This window comes from Homo sapiens, chromosome 8 (assembly GCF_000001405.40).
Source record: "Homo sapiens chromosome 8, GRCh38.p14 Primary Assembly".
In the NCBI taxonomy this organism is placed as follows: Eukaryota; Metazoa; Chordata; class Mammalia; order Primates; family Hominidae; genus Homo; species Homo sapiens.
Genome location: NC_000008.11, coordinates 49,211,321 through 49,233,085, shown reverse-complemented (window position 1 = coordinate 49,233,085; position 21,765 = coordinate 49,211,321). Strand labels below are relative to the sequence as shown.

Sequence of the window (21,765 nt, the reverse complement as noted above, 5' to 3'; positions counted from 1 at the left end):
ATCACCTCCGTATTTGATATTGGTCAGGTGTTGCCAATTATTTCTTTTTTAAAAGAATGCACTAAAAACTGTATTTTTAATTTCAACGGTTTTGAAAATGATGAATCAAAATGTCAAGTATCTAGAAAATTATTGTGTAAATTTGCATCCTTTAACTTTGCAGCATTTTCTGATTTCTCTGTCTTTCCCTCAATTTAAAGATAAGGAAACGGAAACTTTGAGAGCTAAATGTGTTTCTCAAAGTCACTTGGACAGATAAAGTATCTGTCTTGCATTCCACATTTTGTTATTGAAAGGAGTGTGGGTGAAAGAGAGACTTTTCTAAGGTTCAGGAAAAGTAAATAATGTAATGTGAAGATTAGATCAGAGTGGAGAGAATTGGACACTAGCTAGAGTACAACAGAAAGGTACAGACTGGAAAAAAGAATTTCCAGAAAACCTTAGGAAAATAATGCATAGGACGTGGTCACGGATGGAAAATAATGCACAGGACGTGGGCACGGATGAGATGTGCAGCCAGTGAGGCTCATACATTTCAAAGTCATCTCATTTTTCAGGCTGGAAATAATTGCCTGGGTTCTCATAGACTTATCATTGGCCAAGAAAGGCTCATCTGGCTATTTCAGGATGGAATATGTTATAGGCCTAATTTGCCTCCACTTGAAACTCTATCTGTCAGCTGGAAAACTGGCTGCCCTTGCTTTTGCATTATATCAGTCCATCATGATCTGTATTTTGGTATAAATTGTAATTCTTGACTTTCACAATGCAATACTAAAGCTCTCCCTCCCACTCTTGAGACGAAACTTCATAAGGAGTTTTCAATACAAACTTTAAAGCATTATTTATCTTCAAAATCCTGATTATTGGTTAAAGAGAAAGCTCTCTTTTACCCACTTGCCTGATTCCTCAATCTGTAAAACATGCTATTCTCGACTCAGTATCTATAAAACTACTGTGGAGCTTAATCTCCATGGGAAATTATTTCTCATTATAAGAGCTCAGTTTTCTGCCTACATAGTGAAAGTGGACAGAGAAAAGTAAGTAATACCAACAATAGACCTAATTACAGCATTCCTAAGAAAACAAAACATAGCTACATGATGGTGAGCTAAAGGATGTTAAATTGCCTTTCATAGGGCAACAATAAAGAAGTTTCTGAGGCTATAGATTTAAGCGACTCTTAGATTACTTTAAAGACAAACACAACCCTGTATTTATGATATTGTTATTTATTTTAAAAGAATAAACATTTGGCTAATAAAAATACATAGGATGGGTAGGGACAGGAAAATATCACCTAAATAGTGTGACCACATGGAGTTTCTGGCTAGAAGTCATGAACTTCAAATCTGACTTCACCACTCAGTAGCTGAAGTCTCTTCATATCTCTGAATCTCAATTTCCTATTCTGGAACATGATAGTAATAATAATATTATTATTATTTGAGTATGCTCAAATCAAAGGTTTTCTTTGAATTACTAATTGAAATATGTATGCAAAATCAATGTATAAGCTGCTATTCAAAATAAATACGTATGTTAATTTTTAAAGTATTGCGAGCTGCCTTAAAAAAGGTTTGAAAAACTAACTTAAAGGAATGTACTTTTCTGATTACAGTTTTCTAAAAACATTTTCCAATAAAGCTGTATAACTAGAATCACTGATTCTTTTCTTTGCCAGAAAGTTACTTAAGGCTGCCAGTATGCAGTGTTGTTTCTTACTGACTTGTAAGCAGTTACTCAATATAATGCCTGTCGCCAATTTCCATCCACTTTCTTACCTAAATGTTACTGCAACTCCTTCTTCAATTCCCTTCACAGATGAGCTACAAACTGAAGAATAAATTCTCCCAAGTAGTGTCAGCAATTAAGGCATGGAAGAGAATGCACCTGGACCCTAAGGGAGCAAACAAGTACACTGAAGAAGTGAAGAACTTACCATCCCAAAATGTGCGTAATTGGCATATTGATTATTTCAAGCTGAAAAAATTAGAGAAATTGTAGTTTCAGATAGGGTGAGCTCACTGTTCTTCCTACATGCAGCAAGCCATAAAGATTCCTCTGGGAGGGGTGCCCTCACCATATTAGGGCAAGGAAACAGCCCTTATCACCAGAGACTGAGAACTGGGTGGCTGCAATGGATCCGAATAATTATACTTATCCAAATAACTCTTATCTTCCGCTAGTTTTACACCCCACTTCCATATATCTCCTAGTCAACTCCCCTAGAAATTCACTGCCCCAGCCAGATTCTCTTTGTTCTTTCATTTCTTCTCAAATGTATTGTTCTTTGTCTAAAATGTATAAAAACATCTTGCTTTGGTCACTTCTTCAGACCTTACTCTCTTATGAAGAGCATAATGTACATGTAAAACTAATGAAATCTAGGTATACTTTTGTCTTCTTAATATGTCTGGTGTCAATTTGCTTTCTAGATCCAGCCAAAGAGCCAAGTGGGGGTTGCAGATGACCTCCAGCTCCCCTGCCACACCCTTGGGGAAGGGAGTCGCCACTCAGCTTGTCACCTGCAGGAGTCCTCAGAGCCCCAGGTTTTCAAGTCTTCCTTATTCCTGACCTCATCAACAGGGCCTGATCATTTCATACCTTAAATCTCCTATAACTACACCATTCTTCTCCGTCTCCTTGCTGATATTTAGCCCTCATCACTTTTCTCCTGGATTACTTCTTCAGTGTTCCTGCCTCCAACCTGGCCACTTATCAAACCATCCTTCTCCATGTTGAGTCTGTCATAACACATCAAGCTGATTAAGTCACTCCCTTTTTAAAAATGTTTGCATTTTACCCCTTCCTTCTCAGAATAAACTCTAAACTCCTTACCACAGACACAAGGCCTCTGGGGACCTGCTGCCACCTGTTCACCTCCCCACACTCACACTCCCTACTCTGCACCTCAGTTGCTCCAACCACATCAAGGCTCTCCCATTCTTGTTCTTCTTCTTTTGTTTTTTGTTTGTTTGTTTGTTTTTCTTTTTCTTTTTTTTTCTGAGACAGAGTTTTGTTTTGTTGCCCAGGCTGGGGTGCAGTGGCATGTTCTCCGCTCACTGCAACCTCTGCCTCCCAGGTTCAAGCAATTCTCGTGCCTCAGCCTCCTGAGTAGCTGGGATTACAGGTACTGGCCACCATGCCTGGCTCATTTTTTGTATTTAAATACAGACAGGGTTTTACCATGTTGCACAGGCTGTTCTCAAACTCCTGAGCTCAGGCAATCTGCTCCTCTCAGCCTCCCAAAGTGCTGAGATTACAGGCGTGAGCCACCGCGCCTGGCAGCCTCTCATCTTCTTAACATGAAGGTCTCTCCTACTCATTATGTTTTTAAATTTTCTTAACAGTTCATTAAAATATGACTCACATACTAGAAAGTTAACAAGTCAATTGATTTTGGTATATTCATGAACTATGCAACCATCACTGCAGTTGGGGACATTTAGGACATTTTGTTTATCAGCATCAACCGCAGGCAGGAATTAGGTCGTTTCTATCTTTTGGCTATATAAATAATGCTGCTATAAACATTCATGTTTCAGCTTTTGTGTGAATATACGTTTCCATTCTTCTTGTGTATGTATCAAAGAGTAGGGTTTTTGGATCATATGGTAACTCTATGTTTAATCCTTTGAGGAATGTCCAAACTGTTTTACAAGGTGGATGTATCATTTCAAATTCTGCCAACAGTGTATAAGGGTTCCACTTTCTCCATATCTTTTCTGATACCTACTATCTGTCATTTGGGTTCTGGCCATCCTAGTGGGTGTGACGTAGTACCTAGCTGTGGTTTTTTGATTTGCATTTTCCTGATGACTAATGATGCCAGGCACCTCTTCATGTGATTATCAGCTATTTGTAGATCTTGCTGGGAGAAAGATCTATTCAGATCCTTTGCCAGTTTTTAGTTTGTGTTATTTGTCTTCTTCTTATTGAGTTGTAAGAGTTTTTTAATATATTACTCTAGAAACAATTTGCTTACCAGACGTATGATATGCAAGCATTTTCTCACAATCTGTAGTAAGTCTATTCATTTTATTAATGATGCCCTTTGATGCCCAAAATGTTTAATTTTGATGAAATTTAACTTATCTAGGTTTTTTGGTGGGTTTTTTTTTGGAGTTATACTTAAGAGTATTTTGCCAAACCTAGGATCATGAAAATGCAGCTCATTTTTTTTTTCTGAGTTAATAGTTATAGCCTTGAATTCATTTTCAGTTATTTTTGCATATGGTGCAAGATAAGCATCCAAGTTCATTCTTTTGGATGTTTATATCCAATTATCCCTGCAACGTATATTAAAAAAATTTTTCCCCATTTGATGGTCTTGGCAAGCTTTCAAAAAGTCAGCTGACCACTTGGTTTTATTTCTGGGGTCTCAGTTCTGTTCCATTGATCTGTATGTCTATTCTTGTGCCAATGCCTTGTTTAGTTTGGTTTTGTAATGAGATATGAGACTGGGAATTGCACACTCTCCTACTTGGTTCTTCTGTGTCAGTATTCTTTGGTGATTCCATATCTCCTGCAATTCCAAAATAATACAATCAGTTTTCAATTTTCACAAAAGTCAGCTAGTTTTCTGACAGGTATTGCATTAAATCTGTGTGTCAATTTGGGAAGTATTGCCATCTTCAAATTGTTAAGTCTTCTGATCCATAAACACAAGACAATTTTCCATTTATTTAGACCTTTAATATTGTTCAGGAATGTTTTGTAGTTTTCAGGGTACCAATTTGTATCTCACGATTAAACTTATTTTTAAGTATTTTTTTGTTATTCTACTGTAAATGAATTTTTTTTCTTAATTTTAAGATTGTTTATTGTATCACATAGAAATATAATTAATTATTTTTATTGACCTTGTATTCTTCAACCTTGCAGAATTTGTTTATTAGTTCAGATTACTTTTGAGTGGACTCCATATCCAAGGTCATGGTCATCTGAAAATAGAGATAATTTTAATTATTTCCAATATAGAAAAATTTCTTTCTTTTTCTTGCCTAATTCTCTGGAGAAACAAACATAATAAAATGTTGAATAAAAGTGGCTAGAATGAACATCTTTGTCATTTTAAACTTAGAAGAAAAATATTCCATCTTTCATCATTAGGTATAATGTTAGCAGCAGGATTTTCACAGATACCCTTTATCAGGTTGAAGATGTTTCCTTCTATTCCTAATTTGTTCAATATTTTTGTCATAAAATTATATTAGGTTTTGTCAAATCTTTTTTCTGCAATTAAAGAAGTCAAGTGATTTTTGTTTGTTATTCTATTGTGCATTGCATTAATTTTCAGATGTTAGAAATTAGAATAAGATTTTTCTAAGATTTTTTATACACAGATTTGTTTCAATAAATACATTGGACATTTTTGGAATTTTGTGACAATTTACAAAAACCTGCTCTTGAACCATGTAGCCTAGAAATTTCAAAAAAAAAAAAAAGAAAAATTTAGATATGTCATGAATGCATAAAATATATGTAGATATTAGCCTATTTTATGATTTACTACTATAAAATATACACAAATCTATTATAAAATGTTAACATTTATTAAGACTTTTGCACACAAATGCTTACAGATAAGACATAATGCCATTCGCAGTCAAGAGAGATGTAAACAAATGTAAATATGCAGTATTAAATCATTACTGCATACAATGAACATACTGTACCACTGTAATCATTTCTTAGCCACTTCCTGTTGATATCGTGGTAAGCTTGAGTGTTGTATCTGCTTAAAACACCTTGCGACTCTAATCATCTCTGTGTGAGCAGTTCATTTTGTCTAGGAAATTGCACATCAAAGTAAAAAGTGATCTTTCCTGGTTGTCCAGTATTTTTCATCATGTTTAGTGCAATAGTATAAACGTTAACACCATGGGACCCATACAAAGTGTCACTAGTGATACTGGAAGTGCTTCCAAGAAGGAGAGAAAAGTCATGGCATTCAAATAAAAAGTTCAACTGTTTGATGTGTACTGTAGATCCAGGTCTGTAGCTGTAACTACCTGCCATTTCAGACAGACAACTTGTCTAGTAAACAGACTACATAAACTTACACTATTGATAAATACAGTAGAATACTGTAAGTGTATTCTCTCTTCCTTATGAGTTCTTAATGACATTTTCCTTTATCTCACTTACTTCATTGTAAGAAATACGGTATATAATACATATAACATAAAAAATATGTGTTAACTGACTGTTATTTGTAAGCTTCTGATTAGCAATAGGCTACTAGTGGTTAGGTTTTGGGGGTGTCAAATGTTATATGTGAATTTTCAACTGCACAGTGAATCAGCACCCCTAGTCCTTACATTATTCAAGAGTCAATTGTATTCTGTTGTGGACTTTTGCATCCATATTCATAAAAAATATATACTCTATAGTGTTTGTATCTTGTCAGAGTTTTTGTCTCATGGTACTACTGGCCTCAGAATGAGTTAGGAAGTGTTCTCTTCCTCTTTTTTCCAGGAGAAGGAGTTGGTAGATTGGTGCTACTTCTTGCTTAATCATTTGGCATGGAATTCACTGATGAAGCTGTCCAGAAATGGGCTTTCCCTATGAAAAGCCTATATGGGTAGTTTCTTTTTTTCTAATTACTAATTCAATCTCTATTTGTTATACATCTTTTCATATTGTCTATCTCTTCTTGACTCATACAATTAATCATAGTATTCCTTTATAATTCTTTTTATTTATGTAAGGTTAGGAGTAATGCATTCTGTTTTATTTCTGATCCTAGTAATTTTAAACTTCCCTCCTTTGTTTTTGGTTCATGCAGCTAAAAATTTGTAAATTTCATTGCTCTTTTCAAAAAGTCCACTTTGTTTTCATTGATTTTTCTCAGCTAGTTATTCTGTTCTCCATTTCATTAATTTCCACTTTAATACTTATACTTCTTTTTATTCTGTTTTAGATTTAGTTTTCTCTTATTTGTTCAGGGTCTTAGCTAAAAAGTTAGGTTGTTGATTTAAGTTTTTCTCCTTTCTTAATTAGGCATTTAAGTATAATTTCTTTTTCTTTAAGCACTGCCTTAGCAGGACCACATAAGTTTTGGTATGGCTTGATATGTGTGTCTTCATTTTTACTTACCTCAAAGTATTTTCTAATTTCCCTTTTGATTTCCTCTCTGGACCATTGGTTGCTTAGAGTATACTTTTAATTTCCACATATTTGTGAGTTTCCCATATTTTGCTGTCGTTGATTTCCTATTATATTTATTTGTAAGCATTGGTTTCTTAGAGTATACTTTTAATTTCTGCATATTTGTGAGTTTCCCATTTTTTGCAGTTATTGATTTCCTATTATATTTATTTTTAGTTGGAGAAGATAGTTAACGTTATTTTTATCATTTTAAGCTTACTGAGATTTATTTTATAACATAAATATAATATGGCCTTCCCTGAAGAATGTTGCATGTGCACTTGATAAGAATGCATATTCTGGGATTATTTGGTGGAGGGTTCTCTAGATGTCTATTAGGTTTAGTTGGTTTTAAACAGTAAGTTAGTAAGTTTAGTTGGTTTTAAATGGTATTGTTTAAATCTTTAATTTCTCCATTATCTTCCTATAATTTGATTCATTATTTAAAGTGGGATACTGAACTCTCCAACTATTAATTTTTTAATTGTTTATTTCTCCCTTCATTTTTGTCAAATTTTCCTTCATGCATTTTGGAGTTCTTTTGTTAGGTGCATATGTAATGACAGTTGTTATCATTTTCTGCGGATTGTTACTTCCTTAGCTGACACACTACAGGATAAGATAAAAGTATAACCATGTAGTACAGAGTTGACTCAATCAAAGTAAAGTGCACGCATTGTGTTCACAGTGTTCTGTGTACACCTCCAACACAAAACCCTTTATTTATAGCTGTTTGTATACTTTTCATGCCTACTAGAATATGCACCCTTTGAAACAAGGCTATGTGATTCATTGTAAGTCTAGTGGCTGCCATAGTTCATGGCATTTTAGATGAAAATAGTATTCAATGAATGAATGAATGGGTTTTGAAAATACTTACTGTGATGTAAAGAGAGAATGCATAATCCCAGCACTTTGGGAGGCCAAGGCGGGCGGATCGCGAGGTCAGGAGATCGAGACCATCTTGGCTAACATGGTGAAACCCCGTTTCTGCTAAAAAAAAAAATACAAAAAAATTAGCCGGGCCTGGTGGCGGGCACCTGTAGTCCCAGGTACTCGTGAGGCTGAGGCAGGAGAATGGTGTGAAGCCGGGAGGCGGAGCTTGCAGTGAGCCGAGATCGCGCCACTGCACTCCAGCCTGGGCGACAGACGGTGCTGGGAAAACTGGCTAGGCATACCTAGAAAGCTGAAACTGGATCCCTTCCTTACACCTTATACAAAAATTAATTCAAGATGTATTAAAGACTTAAATGTTAGACCTAAAACCATAAAAACCCTAGAAGAAAACCTAGGCAATACCATTCAGGACATAGGCATGGGCAAGGACTTCATGTCTAAAATACCAAAAGCAATGGCAACAAAAGCCAAAATTGACAAATGGGATCTAATTAAACTAAAGAGCTTCTGCACAGCAAAAGAAACTACCATCAGAGTGAACAGGCAACCTACAGAATGGGACAAAATTTTTGCAACCTATTCATCTGACAAAGGGCTAATATCCAGAATCTACAATCAACTCAAACAAATTTACAAGAAGAAAACAAACAACCCCATCAACAAGTGGGCAAAGGATATGAACAGACACTTCTCAAAAGAAGACATTTATGCAGCCAAAAAACACATGAAAAAATGCTCGCCATCACTGGCCATCAGAGAAATGCGAATCAAAACCACAATGAGATGCCATCTCACACCAGTTAGAATGGCGATCATTAAAAAGTCAGGAAACAACAGGTGCTGGAGAGGATGTGGAGAAATAGGAACACTTTTACACTGTTCGTGGGACTGTAAACTAGTTCAACCATTGTGGAAGTCAGTGTGGCTATTCCTCAGGGATCTAGAACTAGAAATACCATTTGACCCAGCCATCCCATTACTGGGTATATACCCAAAGGATTATAAATCATGCTGCTATAAAGACACATGCACATGTATGTTTATAGTGGCACTATTCACAATAGCAAAGACTTGGAACCAACCTAAATGTCCAACAATGATAGACTGGATTAAGAAAATGTGGCACATACACACCATGGAATACTATGCAGCCATAAAAAATGATGAGTTTATGTCCTTTGTACGGACGTGGATGAAGCTGGAAACCGCCATTCTCAGCAAACTATCACAAGGACAAAAAACCAAACACCGCATGTTCTCACTCATAGGTAGGAACTGAACAATGAGAACACATGGACACAGGAAGGGGAACATCACACACCAGGGACTGTTGTGGGGTAGGGGGAGGGGGGAGGGATAGCATTAGGAGATATACCTAATGCTAAATGACGAGTTAATGGGTGCAGCCCACCAACATGGCACATGCATACATATGTAACGAATCTGAGTGTTGTGCACATGTACCCTAAAACTTAAAGTATAACAATAATAAAAAAAAAAGAGAGAATGCAAGGCATGGCACGTAAGGACAATTGTAATTCAAACTTCTCACTTCTGTCTTTAAGGAGAAAGGTCAATGGTTACTAGCACACAGGTTTTTAACTACCTCTCTAGCATTTTTCACTTGAGAAAATCACTGAACTTCACAGAACCTCAGTTTCTTTATTAGTCAATGCACTTCCTATCTCTCAAAACACTTTATGGAAAAGAAAAAAGACAAAGAATGTAAAAATATTGCCAAATGTTAAGGTGTGAAATGGGGATGTCTATTGAAGGGGAGGCTGAGATAAACCTTTGGCTTTGCAATTTACAATCTTCAAAACCTTGCATAAGTTACTTATGAGGTTTGTTTCTCTGTCTGTAAAATAGGATAACAAGAGTGACCTTTAAAGATTGTTTTATATAGCATACGCAGGGTGCTCTCTGCAGTACGTGACTTACTGAAGATACCACTTACATGTAGGTATCATTATTACTGCAACTGCTATAAATACATGATATTTCTTAGATGTCATGGAATTCTAAGGCAGTGGAGCACATTATTGTTATGAAGAGAAAACTTCACTCACGAATTCGGCCAAAAAAAAGACATAAAGATGTTATTTTTATAAAAAGCAAAAGGACAAAAGTGGCATTCATGCCTGTTTCCTAAATAAAAAATGTTACGTGCGTGAATAGAGAAAGTATTACAATAAGAAGTTTAAAATAATTTTTAAAAATAGAATAGAGAAAATTGTTTAAAAAGCATGCATTTGCAAAGACATGTCAGCGATTATGATATCACTTACTAAAAGTAAAGGAGTTCTCCCACCAAGTAAGCATAGAAAAAACTTCACCAAATACTCCTGATTTCTTTTGGATAATCCTGGTAAAGTGCTATGAAGATAAAGTAACTTTCTGTGAGATAACTTAGTATCTTAAAAATATTAAGAATATTTATATCTTGTCTCATTTGAAGATGACTATGAAAACTATGGTTGTTGCTTGCTACCAAAGCAACCTTTTTTGAACACATGAGTTGACAGCATGCACTGTTAGTTTAATCAGAAAATCATTTCGGGCACCTTAGTGTCCATAAAAATGAGCATTATTTTTTTCTCTCCTACCTTATCCATCCCCTTGAAGCTTCTATACAAATGTTTTCTAGCAGTTTCCACTCCCTCCACCACCCAAAACTCTGTAGGAGAGACAGGACTCATTTATGCACCAAAAATGAAATGAAATGTGATGACTTGTCCTCTGAAACTGTACTGTACATAGACATATTTGGCATGACCCAAATAGAGGCAGAAAAAAATGTTAAATCTCTCTCATCCTCAAATACCTCCCAAGAAGGAATTATGTGACTGGCTTACAAGAACCAATGCATAAGAAATTTCCTTAAATTAGACTGTACTTTTTAAGGAGTACTTTTTAAGGATTTTGAAATATCAAAATCCAGTGTCTTCAGGGTGGTCTTTCTTAGCTGGCATCCACAAGAGGCAGCTGAGTTGTTAGAAGGGCACTGAGTCTGGAGTGGGGCTGCCTGGGTATGAGTTCCAGCTTGCTGCTTACAGTCATGAGAATTTAGACAAAGAATTTACAGCCTCTGTCTCTCAGTTTCTTCTTCTGTTAAATAAGTTAATAAAAGCACCAACTTTTTACTTTCTGGTTATCATAAGAATTAAACCAGTTAATACATGTGAGAGACTTAGAATATTACCCGACATATCATAAGTGATATATAATTGATTGTTCAGTAAAATCAGTGAAGGACATACAGATAGTTTTTGAACAAATATTATTTTAAAAATATACCAGACACAACTATTAAATAACCACTTTTGAACAATTCATTAACTCAACTATTTATTGAATATCATTAATCATGTCAGCAATTAATTATATTAATCATAAACATATTTATTATCACCCCTTAAAAGGAGACACAGATTCTACCCTTGAGAGATTTACAGACAAAAGTTGAAGGAACCTCTATGAGAACTTCAAATTTAGAAGTGCAAAATTGTATGTAACTGATCTACTCATGCCAATTTGTAAAGATCATTTTACAGTGATCCTTCAATCAAAGAAGTGAAAGAATTTATGTCCTTTTGAATTTCATTACAAGATCACATATTTTCATTTAAATAGAAATGTGCTTTTCATAATACATCTCAGTACTTCATCTGCTGTCACCTACTAATATATTTCTTTATTCTATATGACTATTTTTTCTGCCAATATAAAAAAAGGTATTATATCATATATCATATAATATATGGGATAACATATAATTTATATATGACATATTAACATGTCATGGTTTCATATGCCAACATGAAAAATCTGAGCTCTATAAATTATTTTCTGCCTAAGGAATATCTATGACACATGGCATAAACTTCAGGTACAGCCCACTGAGCATGGACATTTCCGGCTACTTTCTTGTGTAGTTGAAGAAACATAATGTGTCTTTGCTCCCTGAGAGAAGCCCAACTGCCATCCGGAAAGTGCACTCTTAAGGGGGCTTCCATGCACGTAAATGAGTGTGGTAGACTATGCAAATCCAGGGAGTGCCACACAAGTAAATAGCAGCCCTCTTTTCCACAGCAGCAAAAACCATCCGTGGTAGAATCGAGACAAAGGCCAAAATGGGTATGGGGGCCTGAATGGGACTCTAGACTCAGTAGTCAGCACAGGCAATTATTTCTCCTGTACACATAGGTGGCATGAACACACAAGCAGAATTTAAACCACACACACACACACACACACACACAAATTATTACTGATTCCAGTAGTTTTGAAGTAACAGGGATTCAAACTACTAACAATTGATATTAGTTATTGAGCAGCTACAAGAATGAGATACCAAACTAAGTGCTTCATTTATGTCATTCACTAATGTAACTGTATTAACATCTACTCTATTACACGTAAGGACACTAAGAGTCAGAAAGTTAACAGACTCTCCAGAGCTCATGCATAAGCAACAGGCTTAGGTGATAAGCTCTGGGCCTGCTGAAGCCAGTGCCTACAATCCGAAATGCTATGCTGCTCCTCAGCAAAAGGGGATTATCAATCTCCACTTGACGGTCACTCCCCTCCTTGTTCTTCAGTTTTGCATGTGCTTCATGAAGCTTGACCTGCATTTTGGGTGTCTTAAGTGGCAATCATGAGCCATATTTTTTTCATGCTATTTCAAAATATAGCACAATCTTCAATATATATTAATACTCAGACATATACATCCAATTACCAAGTGTAGGGATGTTAGAGATAAAACCTAGAAGACTCAGACATAAAAGAAAGTGAGAAACAGGAATGAAAGGGAAGGTATAATGGTGCTAAATGAGAGAGAAGATGTATTTATGACAACAGACAACATACCAAAGGGCTTTTTTTTTTTTTTACTATACTTACACATAGCATTTTTGCAAGGAATAAATCACTAGGAAATGCTCTAAGATAAATATTTTGAGCTGACATTTAACTGCCCAATACCTAACCAAGCTTGACAGGATACATTATTTTCCATTTGCAGTTTTATGAGACTTCATATTCCTCTGGTAAAGTGATGGGAAATGGGAAGACATGAAAGCATTGTTTTTTCACTTTTTTCCCATTTGAAATGCTCTTTGAGTGATACTGCAAGTTCAAATTTCTGTGGTTTGTATCTAACTCTTTTTTACCCCCTTTGACAGTGTCTTTTAATGAATTATATCTGAACATCAACCTTTCCTGAAATGTCTGTTGTATATTGTAAAAACCCTCACAGTTTATCACATAAGAGAGGCCTATGAAAACAACCATGAAGACTTAGCAAACATGCTGTCTGCTGCCAATTTACAAGGATGTAATTAGGAAGATTAGGTAACCTGCCCAAGCTCACACACTCGGTAAAGCACAGTGCTGGCAGGGCTGTCTGACACCGGCATTTATGTTCCTGGTTGTGAGACTCTAGGCAGTGTCTCTAGTGATCCATTTCTGTATTTCAAATATGCTGGAAAAATATTGCTCATTCAAAAATATATCTTGTTCCAACTTCCCACTTACTAATCTCAATATGGAAGTGTGTCTTGCCTTCTCTTGATTCCAGTGAAAAGATAATTCTAGTGTAACCATATTGACCATTGCACCTACTGTGCTGATTAGACAATGAAGTATTCATATTTTGGCACACAATCCAGAGAGGAATAATCCTTCTTGATCCCCCTGTCTACCTATTCTGAGTTCCATTTGGTGTCCTTTGCCTTTCTTGCCAATTGTGGCTACTAGGAAAGATTATCATAGCAGCAAGACACTACAATTGCTGTACCCAAGCCAACTGACCAATTTGACATTAATTCTTTCATTCAACAAATATTTGTTGAGTGCCTATTAAGTACCTATTGTGGATACAGAAGGAAACAAGAAATGAAATGTCTCACATTTTATGGCAATAAATAAAGCAGGTATATAATATTAACAAAGAAAATAATTACATAAACAAATAAAAACAAATTTTTGTTACTGGAAATGTGTAGAGATTGGAAATACAATGATGGATAGTGGCAGATGAGGCAGCTATTTCAGACAGGGTTCACAGAAGACCTCCTGAGCATTAAGGTTTAAGCTGAGACCAGAACATACATCTTGGGAAAGATATTGCCCAACAGAGAAGACATCTAGTGCTTCCTCTGGACATCTAGTGCTTGCATTAACTTGGTGTCCCTGGGCTAGTTTTAACCTTTCTATGATTCCATCTCCTCATCTGTAACACAGATGCCTAGTGTTGTTATGAGGAGACAATTATTTAATGTATATAATAGAGTAGCATCTATCACAGAAAGGGAGCATTAAAATTAACTACTGCTGTCTCTAGCAATTATAATTATGACTTTTCTCTTCCAGTTCAAGTTTCCCTCCAAGAGATAAGGACACCATGTTGAACTGGTAAGAAATGTTGATTTACGAACACATAGTTTATTTGCATAAACTATAAATACAAGAGTGAGGAAGACAACGTATCTCCATTATTCAGAAAGTTCCAGCACTCAAGGCTTCAAAACTAAACTGTTTAATTAATATACATATGTCTGTTCTCTTTCAGTATCATCATTTACCACAGGTAAACCTTTCTCCAACTTCTCCTCAGGTCACTTTTTCCCTAATTATAGCCTACTGCATTGCTATGTGCATTTCCTCATTCTAACACCGCATAATGAGGTAGAAGCCCCATATTGTGGCAAGTTGGGGCTCTCTTAAATTTACTGACTTAGTAGACTATACCTTAATCATATGGGATATTTCTAACCTTGCAAAATTTATATAATTACACTTTCTTTTTTTTGAGACGGAGTCTTGCTCTGTTGCCCAGGGTGCAGTGTAGTAGTGTGGTCTTGGCTTACTGCAACCTCTGCCTCCTGGTTCAAGCGATTCTCCTGCCTCAGCCTCCCAAGTATCTGGGATTACAGGCATGTGACACCAGGCCCGGCTAATTTTTGTACTTTTAGTGGAGACGAGGTTTCACTATGTTGGCCAGGCTGGTCTCGAACTCCTGACCTCAGGTGATCTGCCCACCTTGGCCTCCCAAAGTGCTGGGATTACACGCATGAACCACCATGCCCGGCCATAATTACACTTTAAAACCCTCTAACAAAACACTTAATATGTTTACTTCTGATCTTAAAATATCTTCTCCAATGCAATACATTTCTGTTCTCTTCAGTGTTATAAAGTACTCTCCATTCTGTTGTTTCTTATTCCAATTTTCTTAACTTCTTATAAAAAAAAGAAGCCTTCCCCTTCAATTTCCCACTTCTTTTCTCCGCATCAATACATTTCTATCAGGCATCATTTAGACAGTATTTCTTTACTGATGTTATTTACCTGGTTATAGACAGTCTTAAGTTCAAGAGTTCTAGAGTACCACTGTCATTTAGGATTTTCCTAGTTCATATACCTAAATAAGACAATTTGAGATGATTTTTTAAATTTAAAAATAATGAAATAAATTATCAATAATTTAATCCACATATAATTATAATATTATATTAAACTAATTAAACAGTAACCTAATTGTAGATTATGTAAAATGAAATTCTCTTGCTAGTAAACTGGTAATGGCTTCTGGCCAACTATCTGCCAAACTCAAGTAGAATTTGCCTGATTGAACATTATTAAATGAATACCTATAAGGGCATGGTGCAAACATAATGATCATAAAATAAATCTGTGCTTGCACATCCATGCTAGGACAGAGTAGTTAGTAGGAAACCACCACTCTTATGAAGCACACACAGGACAGCCAGTAAAGTATGACATCATCTGTTCAAAATCAATAGAGAGCTGCTGAGACAGAGGAAGCTGGAGAGAGGAAACAAACTTCAAGAGGAGATCTGACTTGTGCAGCCACTTTTATCCTGAGTTTGTGCAACATAATTTCTAGAAGCCTTGAGAGAAAAAACTATGTAGTTAGAAAGAACAAAGAATGGAGACCTTGAGGAAATATAAGACTACTAGTTAAAACTATAGAGGGACAATGGAAATAAGAGGCAGACTTGGTCTCATCAAACATACAGACCAGCCTTGACTGCACACAGTCCCCGAGTGGACTAAAGTGACCGCATCCTCCTTTATCAGACTCACCTAGAGAAAAGCAAACTCTCTCTAAAGAAAGATAACATTTGAACGTTTTTGTATGTAATGCCCAGCATGCAATTAAAACTTACTCATTATGCAGAAGAATGAAAACAGACCCCTATCTCTCACCATACCAACTCAAAATGGATTAAAAGCTAACATGTAAGGCCTGAAACTATACAACTGCTAGAAGAAAACATGGGAAAATAGCTTAGACATTGGTCTGGCCTTTTCAAAAGGCAACCAAATAGGCAACCTAAAAAAATAGGCAAATGGGACTATATTACATTTTAAAAGCTTCTGCACAGCAAAGGAAACCATCAACAGAGTGAAGAAACAATCTATGAAATGGGAGAAAATATTTGTAAACTATTCATCCAACAAGGAAGTAATATACAAAATATACAAGGAACTCAAACAACTCAACTGCAAGAAAACAAATAATCCCATTACGAAGTGGGCAAAGGACATGCTTAGACATTTCTCAAAAGAAGGCATACAAATGGTCAACAGATATATGAGAAAATACTCAACATCAACAACTATCAGGGGACTGGAAATCAAAACCTCAAGAAGATATCTTCTTACCCAATTAGCATGGTTTTTATCAAAAAGACAAAAAAATGCTGGAAAGAATACAGAGAAAAAGGAACTATTTACACACCGCTGGTGAGAATGTAAATTATCACAGTCATTTTTTAATGGATATTTCTAAAAGAAAAAAAGCCTAAAAATAGAACGACTATACAATCCAGCAATCCCACTAATGGGTATCTAAACATCTATGTTTATTGCAGCACTGTTCACAATAGCCAAGATACGGAATCAAGCTAAGTGTCCATCAATGAATGAATGAAAAAAGGCAATGTGGTAGATATACACAATAGAATACTATTCACTTTTAAAAAAGAATGAAATCCTGTCATTTGCAGCAACATAGACTGAACTGGAAATCATTATGTTAAGTGAAATAATCCAGTCACAGAACGACAGACAGACACATGTTCTTGTCATGTCATCACAGAAAGACACATGTACTTATTCAAATGTGTAGCTAAAAAAGTTGATCTCATGGAAATGTGTGGCTAAAAAAGTTGATCTCATGATGGATATTGGAGGCTGGAAATGGAGGATGAGGAATGAAGTGAGGCTGGTTAATGTAAAAACATTCAGTTAGATAGAAGGGAGAAGTTTTAGTGTTAGCTCAATAGGGTGACTACCATTAATAATAATTTATTGTATAATTCAAAATAGCTAAAAGAGAAGATTTGAAATGTTTTCAACACAAAGAAATAAGTGTTTAAGGTGATGTATATCCTAATTACACTGGTTTGATCACTACACATTGTATGCATGTATTAAAATACCACACATACCTATAAATATATACAATTATTACATATCAATTAAAAAGAAAAAATACAGCACCATTACAAGCAAGGATTTTCCCCTAAGGGGGAAAACAGCACACTAATTATACAAAAAGGCAGAAGGACAGAATGAAAACAAAAGAAAAAAGAGATAATAAAAATAAGCCTCTGTTTGATCCAACTATCAATGTGAACTACCAATGGCCTTTAAATAGTATCAGAAGCAAACTTTACAAATAGAGGAAAATCTTTAAACAATAAATTAAAAGATGCACATTTTCATCAGTTAAGTAGAATTTATTTTTAAGTTGAAATTCTAAAATCTAAAAAATATAATAATATTTGAAGATAAGAAATAACTAAAGTGTTTTTACAGCAGATTAGACACGCAGAAAACAGGATTTGAGAATCAGAAGATGGTTCATTAGAAATGATGAATTGAGACACAGAGAAAAACACAATAAATGATGCAAAAAGAATATTAGAGATATATAGGACACAGCTAAAAGTGTAATATAGGTTTATTGTGAGTCCCAGAAGGAAAGGAGAGGATGACTATTAGGTTTTGAATGTTCAACTTTATTAATTTCGTTCTGAATGCTCAAACAAGATATCTGCATGAGAGAAGTAGTTAGTATTATGTTATGTAATACGTGCATGCCTTTCTTCACATAGGTCCTTACCTTGGGTAAGTGCCGTAGCCAGATGTGAAAAACACATTCCTTTACAGAGACAACAATAAGACTGGCAGCTGATTTCTCAGTTGATGAGCCAGCAGACAACATAATGATATCCTAAAACTTGTCAGGGAATATCTCATCTGGGAAATAGATGTCTTATAAAAATATCCTGCAACAATGAATGTGAAAAAAATGTATTTTTAGACAAACAAAATTGAGAAAACTAAATTTGACCTTAAAGAACTATCAAGGAGAATATTTTATGCATATGGAATATAACTCCAGGTTAAAAGAAGAAATTTCAGAAGTTAAGGATGAGGAATATAATGGGTAAATGTGTGAGTAAATTTAAATAAAAATTAACTAAATATTTACTTATAAGGCAATAATAGCAATCTTTATGAGACTTAAAATTATGCCAAATTAGTGTTTTTTTCTTCTCTTCAGTTGACAAATAATAATTGTATGTATTTATGTTATACTACATGATGTTTTGCAACATATATGTACCTTATGGAATGACTGAATAGAAGTAATTAACATATGCATTACCTCAAATATTTACTGGGCTGGATCATAGCTCACAGCAGCCTTGACCTCCTGGGCTCAAAAGATCCTCCCACCTCAACCTCCTGAGGAGCTTGAATTACAGGTGCAAGCCACTGCATCTGGCTCCCTAACAATGTGTGCGTGTGTGTGTGTGTGTGTGTGTGTGGTGACAACACTTAAAATCTATTCTCTTAGCAATTTTCAAGTTTAAAATATATTGTTACTATGGCCACTTTGTTGTACAATAGATCTCTTGTATTTATTGCTCCTGTGTAACTGAAATTTTGTATCTTTAACCAACATCTTCCCAATCCCCACCTCACCTTGTAGCTCTTGGTAACCACCACTCTACTCTCTGCCTCTGTGAGTTTGACTTCTTACATTCCACACATAAGTGAGATTATAGTGTGTGTATTTCTGTAACTGGCTCATTTCACTTAGCAGAAAGTCATACAGGTTTATTTATCTTGTTGCAAATGATGGGATATCCTTTTTTTGTAAGGGTTCCATTGTGTACATGTAGCACATTTTCTTAATCCATACATTTGCTGATGGACCCATAGGTTGATTCCATATTTTGTCTATTGTGAATAATGCTGCAATAAACATGTGAGTGCAAATATCTTTCTGATGGTCTGTTTTTGTTTTTTTGGGGGGTATACACCCAAAAGTGCGATTGCTGGGTCATATAGTAGTTCTATTTTTAATTTTCTGAGAAACTTCTTTACTGTTTTCCATAATAGCCCTACTAATATACATGCCTACCAATAGTGTGAAAGAGTTCACTTTCCTTCATATCCTCACCAACCTTTATCTTTTTTTTATAGTAACCATTTAAAAGCTGCTAGGTGAAACCTCATTGTGGTTTTAATTTGCACTTCCCTGATGATTAGTAATGTTGATCAATTTTTCATATACCTGTTGGCTATTCGTATGTCTTCTTTTGAGAATTCTCTTTTCAGGTTCCTTGCTCAATTTTTAATTGTGTTATTTGTTTTCTTGCTACTGAGTTCTGTGAGATCCTTATAGATTTTGAATATGACCCCCTCATTATATGTATGGTTTGCACATATTTTCTCTTGTGGTGGAGGTTGTCTCTTCATTCTGTTCACTGTTACCTTTGCTGTGAAGAAGCTTTTTAGTTTGGTGTAATCCCATTTGTCTATTTTTGCTTTTGAGGTTAGAACACAAAAAATTATTGCCCAGACCAGTGTCGTAGAACTTTTCTACTAGACTTCTTCCTAACAGTTTTAGAGTGTCCGATCTTACATAAGTCTATATTAAGTTAATTTTTGTATACAGTGTAAGAAAAATATGTGGCATTTACATGCATAATATCAATTAAGTAAAAGTTAGGAGGAAATTAATGCCATTAACATGTTCTAAAGTTGTGACATTATTTGAGAAGTAATAACATAATTTTATGTTACATGATATAATCCTACTCCCTGTGGTAATTATGAATAGATGAGTAAAAGAAAATACGACAAGTTAATACAAGGAGAAAATGCAAAAAAAATCTGATTAATCCATAAAAGACAATAACAGAGTGGAAAAGAAACATAAACAATGAGTAAAATAAAAACCAATTCATTATATGGCAAATTTTAACTAATTCCTATGCATATATACTTACACTAAGTATATAAATGTTCTAAGTAATTTAATTAAAGACAAACATTGTAGGACTGGATATAGCTGCTAGTGTTAATTATCTGCCCATATCAACCAGCTTTTATTGTTTCTTTCATAATGGTCCAGTCTCTATTCTCCTACCCCTGTGCACGTTTGGCTGGAGGCCTTCTTTGGCTATAGCATCCTACTCTACACCTGTGTGCCTCCCAGGAATAACCTTCAACCAACGACTCCTCAGAGTTAGAAAATGAACAGCCTAAACACTTCATTTTTTGGAGTGTGGAAATTATCTCTGAGGTGTGCCTTCTGTGCTGTCTGTCATTGACCCTGGTCAGATTAAGCTCAAATTACCAACAGAGGCTTCCTCTCCTTCCCTATCTAATTTGCCAACTAAAATGTAGTGAAGCGTGTCAGTGAAGCATAAGATCATCACTGAATAAACTCTGTATATCAAAATCCTCATCTCATGGTCTTCTCAGGAAGCCCAAACTATGTAATGCCATAAAAATATTAAATATTTAACTCAATGATACATGTGTGAGACAGGTTTTAAATAAAAAATAAAGTTTAAAACTAAAATGATGGAAAACAATAAAAATACTTTTCGAAAGCTTATGTCACGATTCTAATAAAACATGTGCTTAAAGGTAAAAAGACTTTCTAGAGATGAAGACTATTCTAAATTATAAAGGAAAATAAAGCTATACTTTTCTAAATAGCTATACTATTCTAAATCTCTATAACATAGCTTCAGATAAGTAGATATAATACTTCTAAATCTACATAATATAGTTTCAAAATAAATAAAGCAAAAATTAGGGAATTCAAGGGAGCGGGGACAAGTATGTGATCATTTTGGGAGATTTTAATATGTCTTAAAATAATCGAGAAAATAAGTGAACAGGAAGACTGATCTTCATTGATACAGAAAATCTGAGTAACACAGTGAAGAAACTGATGCATCAAGAAATTATGTAACATAACTATGAATATACAATTAAGAGACTTCACCTCATTTATCTATATAGAACAATTTAACGATTACAGAATTTGTCTTTAGATCTACATACTGAATATTAACGAAATGACCATATGCTGGACTATAAAGAAAGCCTCAATAACTATCAAACGATAGACTTCATCAGAGTATATTCGCTGAGTAGGAAGAAGCCAGGCATTAATAACAAAAATAAAACTATAAAAATAGGAAACTTGTTAAATAGTAAACAACACATTTCTAATTAATTTATAAATCACAACAATAATCTATGACAGATAACAGAAGCTAGAAATATTTTCAACTGAATTATAATTATAGCAAAACATCAAAATTTGTTGCACACAACTAAAGCAACACTTTAGTGAAAAATTTG

At 35.0% G+C, this 21,765-nt stretch overlaps 1 long non-coding RNA gene across 2 annotated transcripts in view; it reads right to left on the bottom strand.

Annotated features, from left to right (window-relative positions):
- Nucleotides 1-4,178: 4,178 nt before the first annotated feature.
- LOC105375826 (uncharacterized) overlaps nucleotides 4,179-21,765 on the bottom strand; it is a 60,415-nt gene continuing 42,828 nt past the window's right edge. The window contains exons 4-7 of one of the 2 annotated variants that reach the window (NR_188094.1): nucleotides 18,212-18,377; nucleotides 8,036-8,148; nucleotides 4,866-4,946; nucleotides 4,179-4,528 (exon numbers count right to left, since the gene is read on the bottom strand). This is a non-coding gene — a long non-coding RNA (uncharacterized LOC105375826). The remainder of the gene's footprint in view (nucleotides 4,529-4,865; nucleotides 4,947-8,035; nucleotides 8,149-18,211; nucleotides 18,378-21,765) is intronic. The other variant, NR_188095.1, reaches the window with a different exon arrangement.